The sequence below is a fragment of the Homo sapiens genome, chromosome 6 (assembly GCF_000001405.40).
Source record: "Homo sapiens chromosome 6, GRCh38.p14 Primary Assembly".
Taxonomy (NCBI): Eukaryota; Metazoa; Chordata; class Mammalia; order Primates; family Hominidae; genus Homo; species Homo sapiens.
Window position 1 is genome coordinate 112,302,572 of NC_000006.12, and position 15,579 is coordinate 112,318,150.

Sequence of the window (15,579 nt, forward strand, 5' to 3'; positions counted from 1 at the left end):
CTGCTTCAGATAACAGATAATACCTAAGGCTGTACTTAAACCAATACATGCTGTTTGTGCTGAGGGTTTTTTTTTTTTTTTTTTTGTAAGACAGTTTTGTTGGGATGCAATTTACTTTCCTTTAATATAAACTTTATCTATTGTAAGTGTACAATTTAGTAATTTTAGAAAATGTATAGGGTTGTGCACCCATCACAGCAATCCAATTTTATAATATTTTTGTCACTCAGAAAGATTCCTCTTGCCCATTTGCAGCCAATTTCGAATTCCATCTCCAGTTCCAGGCAACCACTAATCTATTATCTATTTCTATAGGTTTGGATTTTCTGAATATTTCATGTAAGTTGAATTATATAATGTGTGGATTTTGTATCTGGCTTATTTCATTTAGCATAATCTTTTGAGGTTCAGCCACATTGTAACATGTATCAGTAGTTCACCCTTTTTGGTTGCTGAATAGTATTTCATTGCATATACACACTGAATTTTGTCATTCATTCACTATGAACATATATATATATATATACATAGTGAATGAACATATATATAGTTGTTTCCCCTTTTTGACTATTACAAATAATGCTGCTATGAACATATATATATATATATATATATATATATATGTCTTATATATATATAGGTCCTTGAGTGAACATATGTTTTCATTCATTTAGGGTAGATAGCTAGGAGTTGGACCAATGTTAAAGTGAAGTTTAAGCATTTTAAGAAACTGCCAACCTGTTTTCCTAAGTGACTGCACCATTTTTACATTCCATCAACGATGTAGGATGGTTCCAGTTTCCCCACATCTTCACCAGCCTTGTTATTGTTAAAGCAAACTAAACATGGCCTGAGAAGGAATCCGTACTTCCATATTTGAGTCCTTGTGGATGAACAGGAACCTAACTTAATAGTTAGACAAGACTGAAAATCTAACTTAAGAGTGTGAGCCTGTAATAATAGCTAGGTCTTGGCCAATCCCAGTGGCCGTACTTCAACCATTCATACACTGCTGAGTGTTCAAACTGTGTTCAAATAAGGCAAATGCCAACCTGTAACCAATCCAGCTGTTCTGTACTTCACTTCCAATTTCTGTACCTCATTTCCTTTTTGTTTGTCTATAAATCTCATTCCACCACTTGACTGTGCTGCAGTCTCTGAATCTGCTGTGATTCTGGGGGCTGCCTGATTCGCGAATTGTTCATTGCTCAGTTAAACTCCTTTAAATTTAATTTGGCTGAAGGTTTTCTTTTAACATTATTATTTGTGTTTTTTATTATAGCCATCCTAGTGGGTGTGAAGTAATATCTCATTGTGATGTTGTTTTTATTGTATTTTTAAAAATTTCCTTTTAAATTTAAGATTCAGGGGGTACATGTGCAGGTTTGTCACAAGGGTATATTGTGTGATGCTGAGAGTTGGGTGTCTGCTGATCTCATCACCCAGATGGTGAATATAATACCCAATAGGAAGTTTTTCAGCCCTTGCCCCTCCTCTTCCCTCCCCAGTCTAGTAGTCCCCAGTGTCTGTTGTGCCAATGGTTATGTCCATGTGAACCCAAGATTTAGCTCCCACTTATAAGAACATGCGATATTTGGTTTCCTGTTTCTGTGTTAATTCGCTTAGAATAACAGCCTCCAGCTGCATCCATGTTGTTGCAAAAGACATTATTTCATTCTTTTTTTTATGGCTGTACAGTATTCCATGGTGTATATGTACCACATGTTCTTTATCCAGCCCACCACTGATGGGCACTTGAGCTAATTCCATGTCTTAGCTGTTGTGAATAGTACTCTGATAAACATACTAGTGCAGGTGTCCTTTTGGTAGACCGATTTATTTTCCTTTGAGTATATACCCAGAAATGGTATTGCTGGGTTAAATGGTAGTTCTGTTTTTAGTTGTTTGATGATCTCTAAACTGCTTTCCTCAAGGGCTGAATTAATTTGCATTACCACCAACAGTGTATAAGTGTTCTCTTTTTCTCTGCAACCTCACCAAAATCTGTTATTTTTGACTTTTTAATAATAGCCATTCTGACTGTTGTGAGATGGTATCTCATTGTGATTTTGATTTTCATCTCTCTGATGATTAGAGATGTTGAGAGTTTTGTCATATGTTTGTTGGCTGTGTGTATGTCTTCTTTTGAGAAGTGTCTGTTCATGTCCTTTACCCACTTTTTAATGGTTGTTTGTTTTTATTTCTTGCTGGTTTGTTTGAGTTTCTTACATATTCTGGTATGCTGAAGTATTTTAAAGAAAAACACAGACATCATAACAACACCCACTCGATGGATTATATGCAGCTGCATTTTCTACTAAACATCAGTTCTCCTGGAGCAGGCAAGCACATTAGAAAACAAAACACTTGAGGGAATGATATTACATTAATCTCCAACACTGAAGCTTGTTTCAGCTATGGACTAAGGGAGAATATAAATTTTGTTGTTGCACTTCATTCTTTTTCCATTTCTGATATAAACTTGGCAAGAAGTCTGTGCACTCCTGATCATCACTAACTAAGGTGCCTTGATCCATTGGAAGTTCTTCATCTTTTCTCAGTGGCATTAGCAGAAAATTGATGTTTCATACATGGCATTAGTTGGAGCATAATGCCATCTGTCAAGCAGAGGCATACTCTTTATTTCATTACTGTACTCCCAGGTTGACTAAAGGAAGAAACTAGTCTCTCTCTTTCTCTTCCTCTCTCTTCCTTTCTCTGTTCCCACTTCTTGCTTCTCTTTTCTATATCCTGCATTGTTATAAAATTTTTCTTCTAATAAGATAATTGATAGCTTGGTTCTTTGTAAAAACAAGATTGAGCTATTTTTACAAAGAAAGCTGGTTAAATTTCCATTATTCCATGCCCTAAGAAAGATCTTCCAACTATAGCAGCTTCTGTTGTTTCTGCTACATGTTTTAAATGTTCTGCACCTACAGGTTACCCCTTGGCCAATAACATGGAATCTGGGTTAGCAGCACCCCTCTGCAGCCTTTTCTTTTTTGAGACGGAGTCTCACTCTGTCACCCAGGCTGGAGTGCAGTGGCACGATCTCAGCTCACTGCAACTTCCACCTTCCGAGTTCAAGTGATTCTCCTGCTTCAGCCTCCCCAGTAGCTGGGACTACAGGCGCCTGCCACCATGCCCGGCTAATTTTTTTGTATTTTTAGTAAGACAGAGTTTTACCATGTTGGCCAGGATGGTCTCGATCTCCTGAGCTCTTGATCTGCCCTCTTCGGCCTCCCAGTGATGGGATTATAGGTGTGAGCCACCGCAACCGGCCTGTCTCAGAGATTTTTCTTGGCGTCTTTGTTTCCTTCCACCAGGTGTTATAGATCATTAGTTCCCACAGGCAGGCACTTAAACAATCAGGTTGCTTTTGGTCATTTATTTATTCTTTCACTCATTCATTAAATATTTACTGATCATATCTGCTCAAGACGAGGAGAATACACATATAAATGAGGGAAATACACCATCTAACCACAACGAGAGAGTTATTAACAGCTTTTTAACAGTAGTGCTTGAATACTTCTCTGGCGCTCTTTCCCCTACAATATTGAGCATCTAGTGAATGGCAGGCATGTTAATTCCCCTTCAAAAAGCTATGGGTTGAGACAGTAAACCTAGGGACTAGAATTAACCTTAGCCTTTTTTTCCTCCTCCCTCCCTCCATCTCTTCTCCTCTTCCTCTTTCTCTTCCTTCCTCTCTTCCATCCATCCTTCTTTCCTTTCTTTTTAAAAAATCTGGTTTTAGGACTGGACTAAGAACTCAGTTAAGTGAAGCAAGCAAGAATTTCCCAAGTGATGCCAACTCAAAATGAATTATATCAAGAAAGGAAAAGCAGCTTTTTCATCTGGAAAGAACTGGAGACCTTGAACCTAGGCAGCATGTGCCTTGAACCTAGGATCAGTAAACAACAAGGATGGAAAAGACAGTAAGAATTTGGTCAGATCACCATATCTTTCCGTTGTGCCTTTAGAACAAAAGGAAAGAAAATATCTCTTTGGCTCACAGAGAAAATATGTTGAGAAATGAAGTACAACCCCTCACTGTGCTGGGCACAGAGCAGGTGCTCGGTAAATAAATAGTGTACGTGTTCGCTGAGTAACATTTGACTTGAATTGCCTTTAAGCACTTTGAATGATCCAGTGGTATTTATGGACCTCCCAGGCACAGCCCTGCACCAGCTTTCTCAGAGTAGTGTCTCCATACAGGCAAGCCTTTTAATCCCCAGTAAAACAAAAAGATGGCGATAAATATTCAGTATCTTAAAAATTTAAGTAAATATGCAGTGTCCTACCTCTCACTCACATCGCAAATGATCTTAGTTTGTTCCTTGGAGAGGAACCAAATGCTTTAGTGGATGGTAGCACATTCTCTCTCCCTTTGCTTGTATAGACCTGACCTAACTTAAAAATAAATGTTTAGTTAAGATGATCTCCAGCTTAACCTCTCTGAAGGTATAGGAAGCTGGATCAGGTGTAGCTGTCCCTGGCTATAGGTTGGAGTATCTTGATGTAGGTGAAGCAGTGTTCCTAAGGGGAAGTCCTTCCTTGTTCACCAACTGGTTGTGTTCATGCCTTTTAGTATTTGCCCAAGTATTCACCAAGTCAAAGTCTGTGGGGTAATAGGTACATTGAATAATAGGGATTGGATTTTAATTTTTCTCTTAAACTAATGTGACACATTGAGATGCTTGTAACTGATGAGTGAGTTTGGTTCAGCATTCAGTATGGCTAATGATAACAATTTGTAAAAAGCATGTAGGGGTATTCACTGGGATAGACTGATGGCTGTGCTTATGAAATGTGGCTGTTCCCTTTCATTTTCCTGGAGTAATCTAGTTCAAAAGCTTTCAGGTTGTGTATAGGTAAATTGACTTATCAAGAACCAGTGAAAGGAGGATGATATTGGTATTTAAATCCTATCTCTTATTTAATATGTAAACTTAGGGAAACATCTTCCCCTCCTTTAGAATTAATTTCTTAATCTTGTAAAACTGTGACACCAGGGTTTTCCCTGGTGTCCTCGGATTGTCAGTAAGGCTAAAAGTAGAGAATATGCCCCAAATTCTAAGCCCCAATAACTGCAGCTACTGGGGCCCACTAGCTCCTTGCAGGGTTTTCTGAGAGGCATTATTCCAACAGGCTTGAACACACTGCTTCACTGTCGCTTGATCCCTGCTGACCTTAGAAAACTGAGAAGAGAGTCATCTGGGGGAAGAAAAGTGTTCATTTCCCCTCTTCATCTCCTCTGTTAGAGGCAAGAAGGGGAAGTCCAAGAGAATCATTCATAAATGTGGGGGTGGCCAAAAAGGGCAGGCAGACACTTCATTCCATGGTTGAGTGCCTGCTTAGTTAGCAGAGCTGGTGGCCTGCCTTTGAACTGCTAGGGTGTGTGTGTGTGTATGTGTGCGTTCACACATGGGCACGTATGTGTGACCTTGAGTTTAAAAAAAGTTAATGGCAGCTACTTATAGGATAACTTGAAATCAGGAGAGACTGGGGTAGGATCGAGGTGGTGAGGAAACACAGGGTCACCAACTTGCATGTTGGGAAAAGGACTATCAGGTGGAGAGGTCACCAGGATTTCTCACTGCCCCCCCTTCCCCGCCCCCATTAACATAGGCCCCTTTTCAAGAGATACTGACATGGCTCTTCCTTGCAGACTTAGGAACTGGCCACAGGGTATAGATGAGGTTGCAGTGTTAAATAATTAAATGGGGGTCATTAGACTGAGGTGACTCTAATGCCCTGGGTTCCTATGTAAGCAAACCTAAATCTAACTCAGAATTTAAAAGAAAATAAAACTTAAGTTCATTCAATCACAGGCAGCCAAATGGGCATTAGCTGTATTGTCTTAAACTTCCCACTGGGCTAGTTCAAATAAGGCAGTTGCTCAAACTTCAACCAATCAAACAATTTCTTTGATTCACCTCATAAAAACGTCCCCTCATGTCTCTTTGTCAAAGCTCTGAATTACCTCTGGTTTGGAGCTGCCTGATTCATGAATTGCCATGTGCTCTAATAAACTCTTTAAAATTTTAACATGCCAGAGGTTTTCCTATAACAGGGGCAATTATCTCTAGAGCAATTCCCCAGTGAGGGACAAAGAAATGTGATGCAATAATGTCAGCTGGGGTCAGCCAGAGATGTGGCCAAATTTCTCAAGGAGCTTCCAGTGTCAAGAGCTGCTTCATGGAGGGAGCATGTTGGAGAAGGTGAAGCATGGTGGAGCCACAGACAAGCAGAGGGGGCTGTGCAGGAGAGGTCTGCAACCTCACTGTCCTGCCCCAATACTCAAGGAATAGCTCAGGGAAGAGGGAGGAAAGGGAAAGCATGTGATAAAGACTACACCCCTGGCTAGGGAAAGGGAAAGGAAGTTTTGAATGAGATACAACATGCAATCTAAATGAAACAAAGAGACTAAGAAAACATGGAATAGGGCTCAGGTGTTGTTAGGGAGGATTTGATCTGGGATTATTGGGGACAGTTATTGGAAGAAAATAAAATTTGTATTTATAGCTGAATGAATTGAGACTCTTTAATACCACCTCCCTGATTATAGTCCACTGTTCTTTCTGCCATATGGTGCTTTACCGCTGACGTTCTCTAAATGTCTTCACTCTCATAACCTCATCCTGTTCATAGCATCTTGAATATTTGATCCTACACCTCAATTTTACAAACTCTTGGAATTTGTGTCAAATCTTGCCTCTTCCCAGAAGTCTTCCTTAATAACCCCAGGTCCACATTCCTCCCTGTCTTTCCCCCATTGCCCTCCACCATTTCAGCATTTTCTAGAATCCATCCTTGCTTTTCATTCCAATCTTCCACGCCCTAGTTCAGGATCCCATCCAATCCTCCTTCTGCATGGTTGCCACACACTGCCTGAGGACAACTGGCTGAGGCCCTGCTGCATTTGGCAAGCCACCTGCTCTGAAACAGGGTGGTGTCAACCCAGAGGGGCACCATTTTCTCAATTGCCCAAGGGCTGTCTTAGTTCACCAGGTGTGCATGGGGTCCTGTAGGCTCAGAGGGAGTGTCTTTTCCTAAGTTGCACGAAGGTGACACTGTATTTCCTAACCACCTCGATCCCACCCCAGTCTCTTCTCATTTCAAGTTGTCCTATACATAGCTGACATTAATTTTTTTTTAAACTCAAGCAAATCTCCTTTTCTACGTAAAAGCCACACTCTAGGGCATCATCAATATCATGTGTATTGGGAACTGTCGAAGGGCTAGGATGAAACAGCCTGGATGTGGACTGTGAAGAGAAATAAAAAGCTTCCTAGCACCACGAATCTCAAACCTTCATGTGCACACAAATCACTATTGGATCTCATTAAAATGAAGATTCTGATTCAGAAGGTCTGAGTGAGACCTGAGATTCTGAATTTCTAGCAAGTGCCCAGGTGATGCTGAAGATGTTAGTCCAAGGACAACACTGTAAGTAGCAGTAAGTAACATTTAATTTAATACACTGTGAGTAGCATTTAATTTTCACAAAAATCCCTATAGGGTTATTATTATTATTATTGTTATTATTGCAATTTTTTAGAGACAAGTTCTTGCTCTCTTACCCAGGCTGCAATACAGTGGTATGATCCTGGGCTCAAGCTATCTGCCCTCCTGAGTAATTGGGACTATGAGTGGGCACCACCATGCCACCATGCCTGGCTAATTTTTTTATTTTTAATTTTTTGTAAAGATGGGGTCTCCCCGTGTTGCCCAGGATGGTCTTGAACTCCTGGGTTCAAGCAATTCATCTGCCTTGACCTCTCGAAGTGCTGGGATTATGGGAATAGGGATTTAAATTCATGTCTGCCTGATTGAAGACTCCTTTTTAGCCACTATGGTGTATTCCCTCTAGAAGGACTGGAGAGGAGAGAATGGACTTGAGGGAAGAATTTCATTCAGGAAGTAAAACAAGAAAACTTGGGGATGGGTTGGCCTTGATCTTCTCAGTGGAGTTGGTGAGAAGGTCACTTAGCTCTGGTGGTGGGAATGAAAGGCCTAAGTGATCTGGGGGAATTGGGGCTAGCTGCAGAGGGCCATGTGCTGGAGGAAGAGCAAAAAGGGCTGCCAGTAGAAGGGAGCGCCCAGATAAAGCTGGGAGGATTGAACTTGCCAAAGCACTAAATCAGTGGTTTCCAAACTTCACAGTAGAATCACTTGGGGATCTTTTAAAAGTTCAGGTTATTCCCCAGGCCAATTAAGTCACAATCTCAGGCAAGGACACAAACATCAATAATTTTTGAAGCTACCCAGTAATTCCAAAGTACAGATTATTTTGGGAACCAGTGCTGCAGATGATTAGGTTATAGTGTTAAAGGGGCAAATCTTGCATTATTTTAAATAACCCAAGGAGCATTGAATAATGGTTTTGGCATTTTGCATAGTTCGGAGTTTGGCAAACTTTTTCTGTATTAAGTCAAATGGAAAAAAAAAAAATTAAGCTTTGTGGGCCAAGAGGCAAAATTGAGAGTATCATGTAAGTACTTACATAATAGGAGAAGAAAACAGATTTCCACAAAATTTTTATTGATGAAATTTGAAACTTTATGAATACTGAACTTGGAATTTTATATAATTTTATGTGTTATAAAATGTTAGAATTCTTTTGATTTTTGCAGTCATTTAAAAATGTAAAAATAATTCTCAGCTTTCAGGCCGTACAAAAACAGGCAGTGGCTGGGTTTGGCCCCCACTATGTTATAATTTGCTGACTCCTAGTGTAGTTAGTGATATACCTTGTGATGAATCCAAAGAAGCCATCAAAAATATGCATCTCCATAAAAATAAATCAGCATTCAAATGAGTGCTTGATTGACCTACAACAAAACTGGCCTTTGAAAAAAATCATTGCATTTTCTATGGACAAAGTGCAAAATGAATGACAACACTTTGAGGCAAAGGCTACTTTAACTCATATTTCCATAATAAATAAAAAAATAGCTGGTTGAAAACATGGATGACCTACACAGAGTCTACTATATAGAGTACTGTTTTCTGTAAATAACTCAAAATACTTTCAAAATATCTTTTAAAAGTATAAATAGTATTTTGATTTATTTTGAAACCATTTTGGTGTTTCACCAGATGTCAGTTCTCCTCAAGGCCTCAAATTATTAAAGATTCCTAGCTGTTGAGTACAGCTCCCTTGCGTTTGTAATGTCTACATTTGGATACCAGGATTATAGGTTAAAAAAATGGCAATTTTCTGGAAATGTTGTTTATGTAATCAGGTGGATAATCTGAAATACTTTAGAGAGGCTATAGAAATCCCTCTACTGTCTTTGGGCATTTTACATCCAGAACCTTCTGAATTATTGCATTAATAACTTCAATAGTTTCTGATTAGCAAAAAGCACAGTGAGGAAAACAAAATTAAAGAGAAAAAGGAATTTTAGCACCTGCAGGTCTAAATATTGTATTTGTAATTTATTTACTAATGGATAGTTGTTTTTTTTTTCTCTTATGTATAGAAAATTTCGAATGGAACCAGAGGTTACCAGAAACGTGCCCCATTTGTAGTTTCTCTGCTTTGAGAATTTGCCAGGCGTTGAGGGGAGCCCTCTGCTGTTAGTTTTATTTATTACAGTAAAATTTGAATTACATTTGTTTTATGCCCTTCCTTGAACCTTCTCAGGTTTTTGATGTTTCTGTTATGATTGTACATTTTACATAACAAAGAAAACATAAATTCCACGATGCCAGTTGGCATAGTTAATAATCCATCAATTCTGCCCTTTTTGAACTATATCAGAGCATTGAAAAATCTGGCGGTTTCCAATTTCCATGTTAGAGTAGGGTTTTGACCTCTATTTCACTTTCAAATGGGTCTCCTTGGCAGAATAACTCGGCTTTCTCGATTAATTTTACTGTTCACCCCCTTAACAGTGAATATGGAGGTTTAAACCTGATGCTTTAGAAGGTAATTGTACAGTTTTCGGAGAGTCAGAGGAAACTGACTCTCCCCTGCTCCTTAATTGCCCTTGTTACATTCTCTCATCCACTAACTGTGAATGCTCCTTGAATCTTACTTCTAGGACCTCTAATTTTGTTGTTGTCATTGTTGTTATTTTTACATTTGTTGCATCTGTGGACTCATCTATTGTCACAATCCTAGTTATAATGTCTAAATTAGTAACCTCTTAAGCTGTGTTGTCTTGGAGACTAGGCAGGAAACAAACATTTATTGGGTGCCTGCTACTTGAGCACAGTGGTAACATATATATACATATATATACACATACATATATATACATATATACATACACATACATATATACATATATACATATACGTGTATATATACATATATACGTGTATATATAAATATATACGTGTATATATACATATATACGTGTATATATACATATATACGTATATATACAAGTATACATATGTGTGTGTAATATATAGAAAATATATACATAAATATAATATATAAGCATATATAGATGTATTTTATCTAGCCCTTTTTTCCAACTTTTTTTCCAAATACTATATGTCCCCACAGTTGTCTTGGTCATTTCCCTTCCTAAGCAAAACTCTCTCTTTGCCCATCTTCTTTTCCTGGCATCAGAGTATCTCCACTTCCTGGTGCTCAACACTTGGGAACAAGATTTTCAGCATTTCTGATTTGAAATTTACTTCTTTTATTGTCTCTTTTTTTTTATCCCCACTACCATCATAAAGGCCTCGTCACTTCACATCTGGATGGCTGTTTTCTCATTTTAACTATTTTTTCTGGCATCTTTTCCTTCTATCTGTTCAGCATGTACTCATCATACCCCTTTTTTTAAAGAACACTCTTTAATCATTTCCCTCTCCCTTGTAAAATAACTGCAATGCATCTCCATTGCTCAAAGGTTCAGTTTGAAAAATTTCACCCTGATATTCTAGGCCCTTCAAATCCTGATTTGATTTATCTAGCCTAATACCCTGCTCCTAACAATGCTTATTCCAATCAGGTCGGCCTCCTTCCTGCCCATACCAGGCTGGCACTCCTACCTCAGTACTTTCTCATCCTCTTCTGTCTGAAATGTTTTCTTTCTCTCTACCTGCCAATATCCAACTCCCATTTGAAATACAAATATTTCCATCAAATCTTCTTTAATAATCCAGCCAACATTGGTATAATCCTTTCTCAGTTACCTGTTTGGCGTTTATTATTAGTATGATGCATTATAGTATTTTATTGTATTTATGTATTAATCTTATTAGTATTTAATTTGTGTATATTCTCTTGAGTACTCTTAATTGTTCCTTCAGCTTATCCCAACTGTATGTTTCTGATGATAAGAATATAGTCTAGAATTTCACTCTGGGATACCATACTGGGTTTAGTCAATTAAGCTCTCTGAAATTAATTTTCTTCTTTTGTAAGATGGAGATAATAATACCCCTCTACTTGTCTCATTTTGACACTTGAGGTTAAAAATAGTATGAAGAAATGCTTCAAAGTTTTCAAACTAATTTATTACCATGGTGGTGATGATGATGATGATCCAGAATGTATTTTCCCCCTTGAGATACCACCTAATATAGGGTTGTAGGGGTGGAGAGGATATGATCTCTTTCCTCCTTATCATAAAGGGTCATGACTGACACCCCATAACAACAAAAAACAGGTTAATCAAAGAAAAGCATAACAAGTTTATTATAGTCCTATTATGTGCACACATGTGTATGGGAGTCATATAAAATATGAACTCAAGGAGGGACCAGATGGTTTAGGCTTAAGTGCCCTCTTCATAAGGGAGAGGGAAGTAAGATGTATCGGAGTAAGTGATTTTCAGGGGAAACAAAAGGCCCAGTGCTCAGACAATGGTCCACAGAAACAGCCTCTTAGGTAATCTCTTGAAGCTGCCTTCAGATGAATTGATGAAGTCTGTCTGGGTATGGTGATGACTCCCAGTCTTCTCTGTCCTCCAGTAGTTGATCTTTCCAGGTTATTTGATGAGATCTCTAGGGAATGAGTCTTGAGACAATTGCATTTCTTTTGGAAAGAAGCTTTCTTGGTCAGACAAGAAAATTTCAGAAAGAGTCCCTCATTGACTTGTAGGGTGAGGAAAAGACAAGGTTGAATGGACCTTGATTCTGAGGCAGCTTTTAAGGCCTCCCAGCAGGCCAAAGCACCAGTCTTTGGGGTATCACATTCTGAGGCCCAAAAGGGTCATAGAGTTCCTTTCTGAGGATAGAGGTTGTAACCAAAGATGGTCACTACCACCATGAGGAAGAAACATCATCTCTCTGAAGGCATATCTGATCTGCCAGAGTTCAAGATCAAAGTCAGTACCTTCACCTTAACTTTTACCCCCACCTGTAGCCTATGATGCTGCCAATTTCCCTTCACACAAAAGCTTGTGAACTATTGGTCTGCGCTTATTGCTTATACTCTTGCAATCTGGGGTCAAAGCTCACAAGTACAAGAAATTTCTTCTAAAAGTGCTCAAAGACATTCTAATTGTTTAATCAGGTAGCTGCTTTTTGGTCATCTTCCTAGACCTTTCTGCAGCATTAGATGTCATTAAGAAGAGTTGTAATATAAGGTTTTAAGGAAAAGAGAGATGTTTCAATGAAAGGGATAACAAAAGAAAAGACAGATTTGACTACGTTGCATTTCCCCAAACTTAGAACATATTTACTATGTGTTTGGCAGCCATATCACTATTTCTAACATTAAAAACTCTGAATAATACAGAAAAGGATAAACACTGTAATAGAAAAATCGGCAAATGTCATGAACATACAAATCACAGAAAAGACATAAATGCACATACAATATAATGTTCAACTTTAATAATTAAAAAGTATGTGGCCAGTTTTAGGTCCCACTTTTTTCTTTTGTAAATGTTTCAGGAGTATATTCAACTTCTTTTGAATAGTTTTCATAAAAAGTTCTGATTAACCTGCATGGAGTCCTTTTTCTTGAGCCCAAAATGGTGGATCATGCTCACTATGCTTGCTGGAATATGTCCACTGGGTACAAGTTTTCTTTTTTTTCCCCAAGAATGTGATGGAACACTTGTATCCTAGTAACAATCCAGATGATAGCACTATCTTGCAAAGACGTGTTTATATCAAGCTATGCTATGAATAAAGTATATATGCTCTCTCTCATTCAACAAAGAATAGAACCTAGGAGAGACAGACAAAATTGTGTTAGGTCTTGTTGAAAGAATGAGTAATGGGTTGTTTAGAAAGGCAAAGAATGGAACAATTATTTTCCATCTGAACATTGCTTATGTCAGTATTGCAGGTTTTTATCCTTGGTTCAAGGTTACAAATCTTCCTCGGGATACATCAGCTGCCAGACATAAAGTCATATGCCATGCTGCGAAGAGTTTTTTTTACAGACTTCAACCTGTCTCCCCATCCCACACCCAATATTAAAATATGCCCTTTGGGACATGAGTCTAGAAAAACATCCCTTCTTTTAGAGCTAATCATTACAAATGGAGCGAATATTGCAAAAATCCTACAAATGATCTCTTCTGCCCTTGCAACCAAGGCACTGTTACTGAGTGTAACATGCCATGCATGTTACATAAACAATTCATTTAACTTTGTGGGGCCTCTTCAGGATAGGATAGGATAGGTATTTTTTTTCTCACATTTTGCAGAGAAAAATTGGTGCCTCAGATAAAATAAATAACTCACTGAAGTTTATATGCTACTAAGAGGGCTACTCTCAATTGAATTCAGTTATACCTGACTCCAGAACCCCTGATTCTTACCTCATTTTATTCTGTGTGTTTCTTTCAAAATGTAACTTTCATACCATGTTCATTTTAAAATTAATGCAAGGCTTACCATGCTTCTTCAGTGGTATGGATTTGTATCCCATGTAAGATGCTTTGAAACTCTGTATATGGACACCATTCCTGATGGTTTCCACTTACCCTATAAAATGATCTACCTACTGCATCTGGAAGCACCTGGAAGTTCTTATCATGAGAAAGTTGAAGAATTCCCATTCTAAAATGAAAAATAAAACAGGCTGTTAGACCTCAAAACGCAGTGTGATATTAGAATTATTAATGGTCACAGCTAGATGATCTGATAAACGGGAAGTTTATGTTATGTTCTGAGTTCACACAGGAGGCTTTGTGGCAAGGTTCTGTAAACAACTCTTGCTCTGGAATATTTGTGAATGGCCATCCATACAATTGATATTGAATGCTCTTGCTTGACTTTTATTTATTTATTTATTTATTTATTTTGAGACAGAGTCTCACTCTGTCGCCCAGGCTGGAGAGCAGTGGTGCGATCTCGGCTCACTGCAAGCTCCAACTTCCCGTTTCACGCCATTCTCCTGCCTCAGCCTCCCGAGTAGCTGGGACTGCAGGCGCCCGCCACCATGCCTGGCTAATTGTTTGTATTTTTAGTAGAGTCGGGGTTTCACCGTGTTAGCCAGGATTGTCTTGGTCTTCTGACCTTGTGATCCACCCGCCTCTGCCTCCCAAAGTGCTGGGATTACAGGCGTGAACCACCGCACCCGGCCGTTTGACTTTTTTTCTGGGGAGCTGTCTTTAGTGTAGAGATTCTAGTGTCATTTGGACACTTTCGATTTATAATGAAGAGATCAGTGTCTTCACCAACCCATGGGTTGCCTAGTGAGGGCAAGGGAGGTATTAAGTTAAGTAAGCAGGAGGCCATTAGCCTGAGGCTGACTCCATACTTTGAGTTCCTACATAGCAAACCATAAACTGAATAAATAAACAAGCTAAAACCTAACATAAGAGTATAAAAAATGACGGAATTTTAGCCAATCACAGGAACCCCAGGTTTTAGCCAATCACAGTAGCCAACTCATCACATCATGCCCAAATAAGCCAAATGTCTCATCACACAATGTCCAAATAAGGCAGGTTGAGGTGGAAGGATTGCTTGAGCCCAGGAATTCAAAACTTCAGTGAGCTAGGATCATGCCACCGCACTCCAGACTGCGCAACAGAGCAAGACTCTGTCAAACAAACAAACAAACAAACAAACAACAGCTTACTGCTTACACTGCCAGGCAGAGTTCTTTGAACCTCTCTTCTGGTTCTCAGTGCTGTCCCATTCATGAATTGTTCTTGGCTCAAATAAACTCCGTTAAATTTAATTTGTCAAAAATTTTTCTTTTAACATAGGATACAAGGGAAATTGTCTTTCTTCCTTTCCTAGAGCTCATGGTTATGGCAGGGGAGATGCCTCTGCTAGGTTCAAGTTTTGGCTTTGCTACTTGATAGCATGCTTGGTTCACTTAGTTATCTGATGAGATTTGTTCAGTCAGTAGCAAATTTAATCAAGGTAAATCTTTTTTTTTTTTTTTTTTTTTTTTGAGGCTGGAGTGCAGTGGCGCCATCTTGGCTTACTGCAAGTTCTGCCTCCTGGGTTCACGCCATTCTCCTGCCTCAGCCTCCCCAGTAGCTGGGACTATAGGCGCCCGCCACCACGCCCAGCTAATTGTTTGTATTTTTAGTAGAGTCGGGGTTTCACTGCGTTAGCCAGGATGGTCTCCATCTCCTAACCTCGTGATCCGCCCACCTCGGCCTCCCAAAGTGCTGGGATTACAGGCGT

At 39.0% G+C, this 15,579-nt stretch overlaps 1 long non-coding RNA gene across 1 annotated transcript in view; it reads left to right on the top strand.

Annotated features, from left to right (window-relative positions):
- Nucleotides 1-4,112, top strand: part of LAMA4-AS1 (LAMA4 antisense RNA 1) — a 70,088-nt gene extending 65,976 nt beyond the window's left edge. Inside the window, exon 3 of the long non-coding RNA NR_121193.1 lies at nt 3,758-4,112. This is a non-coding gene — a long non-coding RNA (LAMA4 antisense RNA 1). The remainder of the gene's footprint in view (nt 1-3,757) is intronic.
- Nucleotides 4,113-15,579: the final 11,467 nt, after the last annotated feature.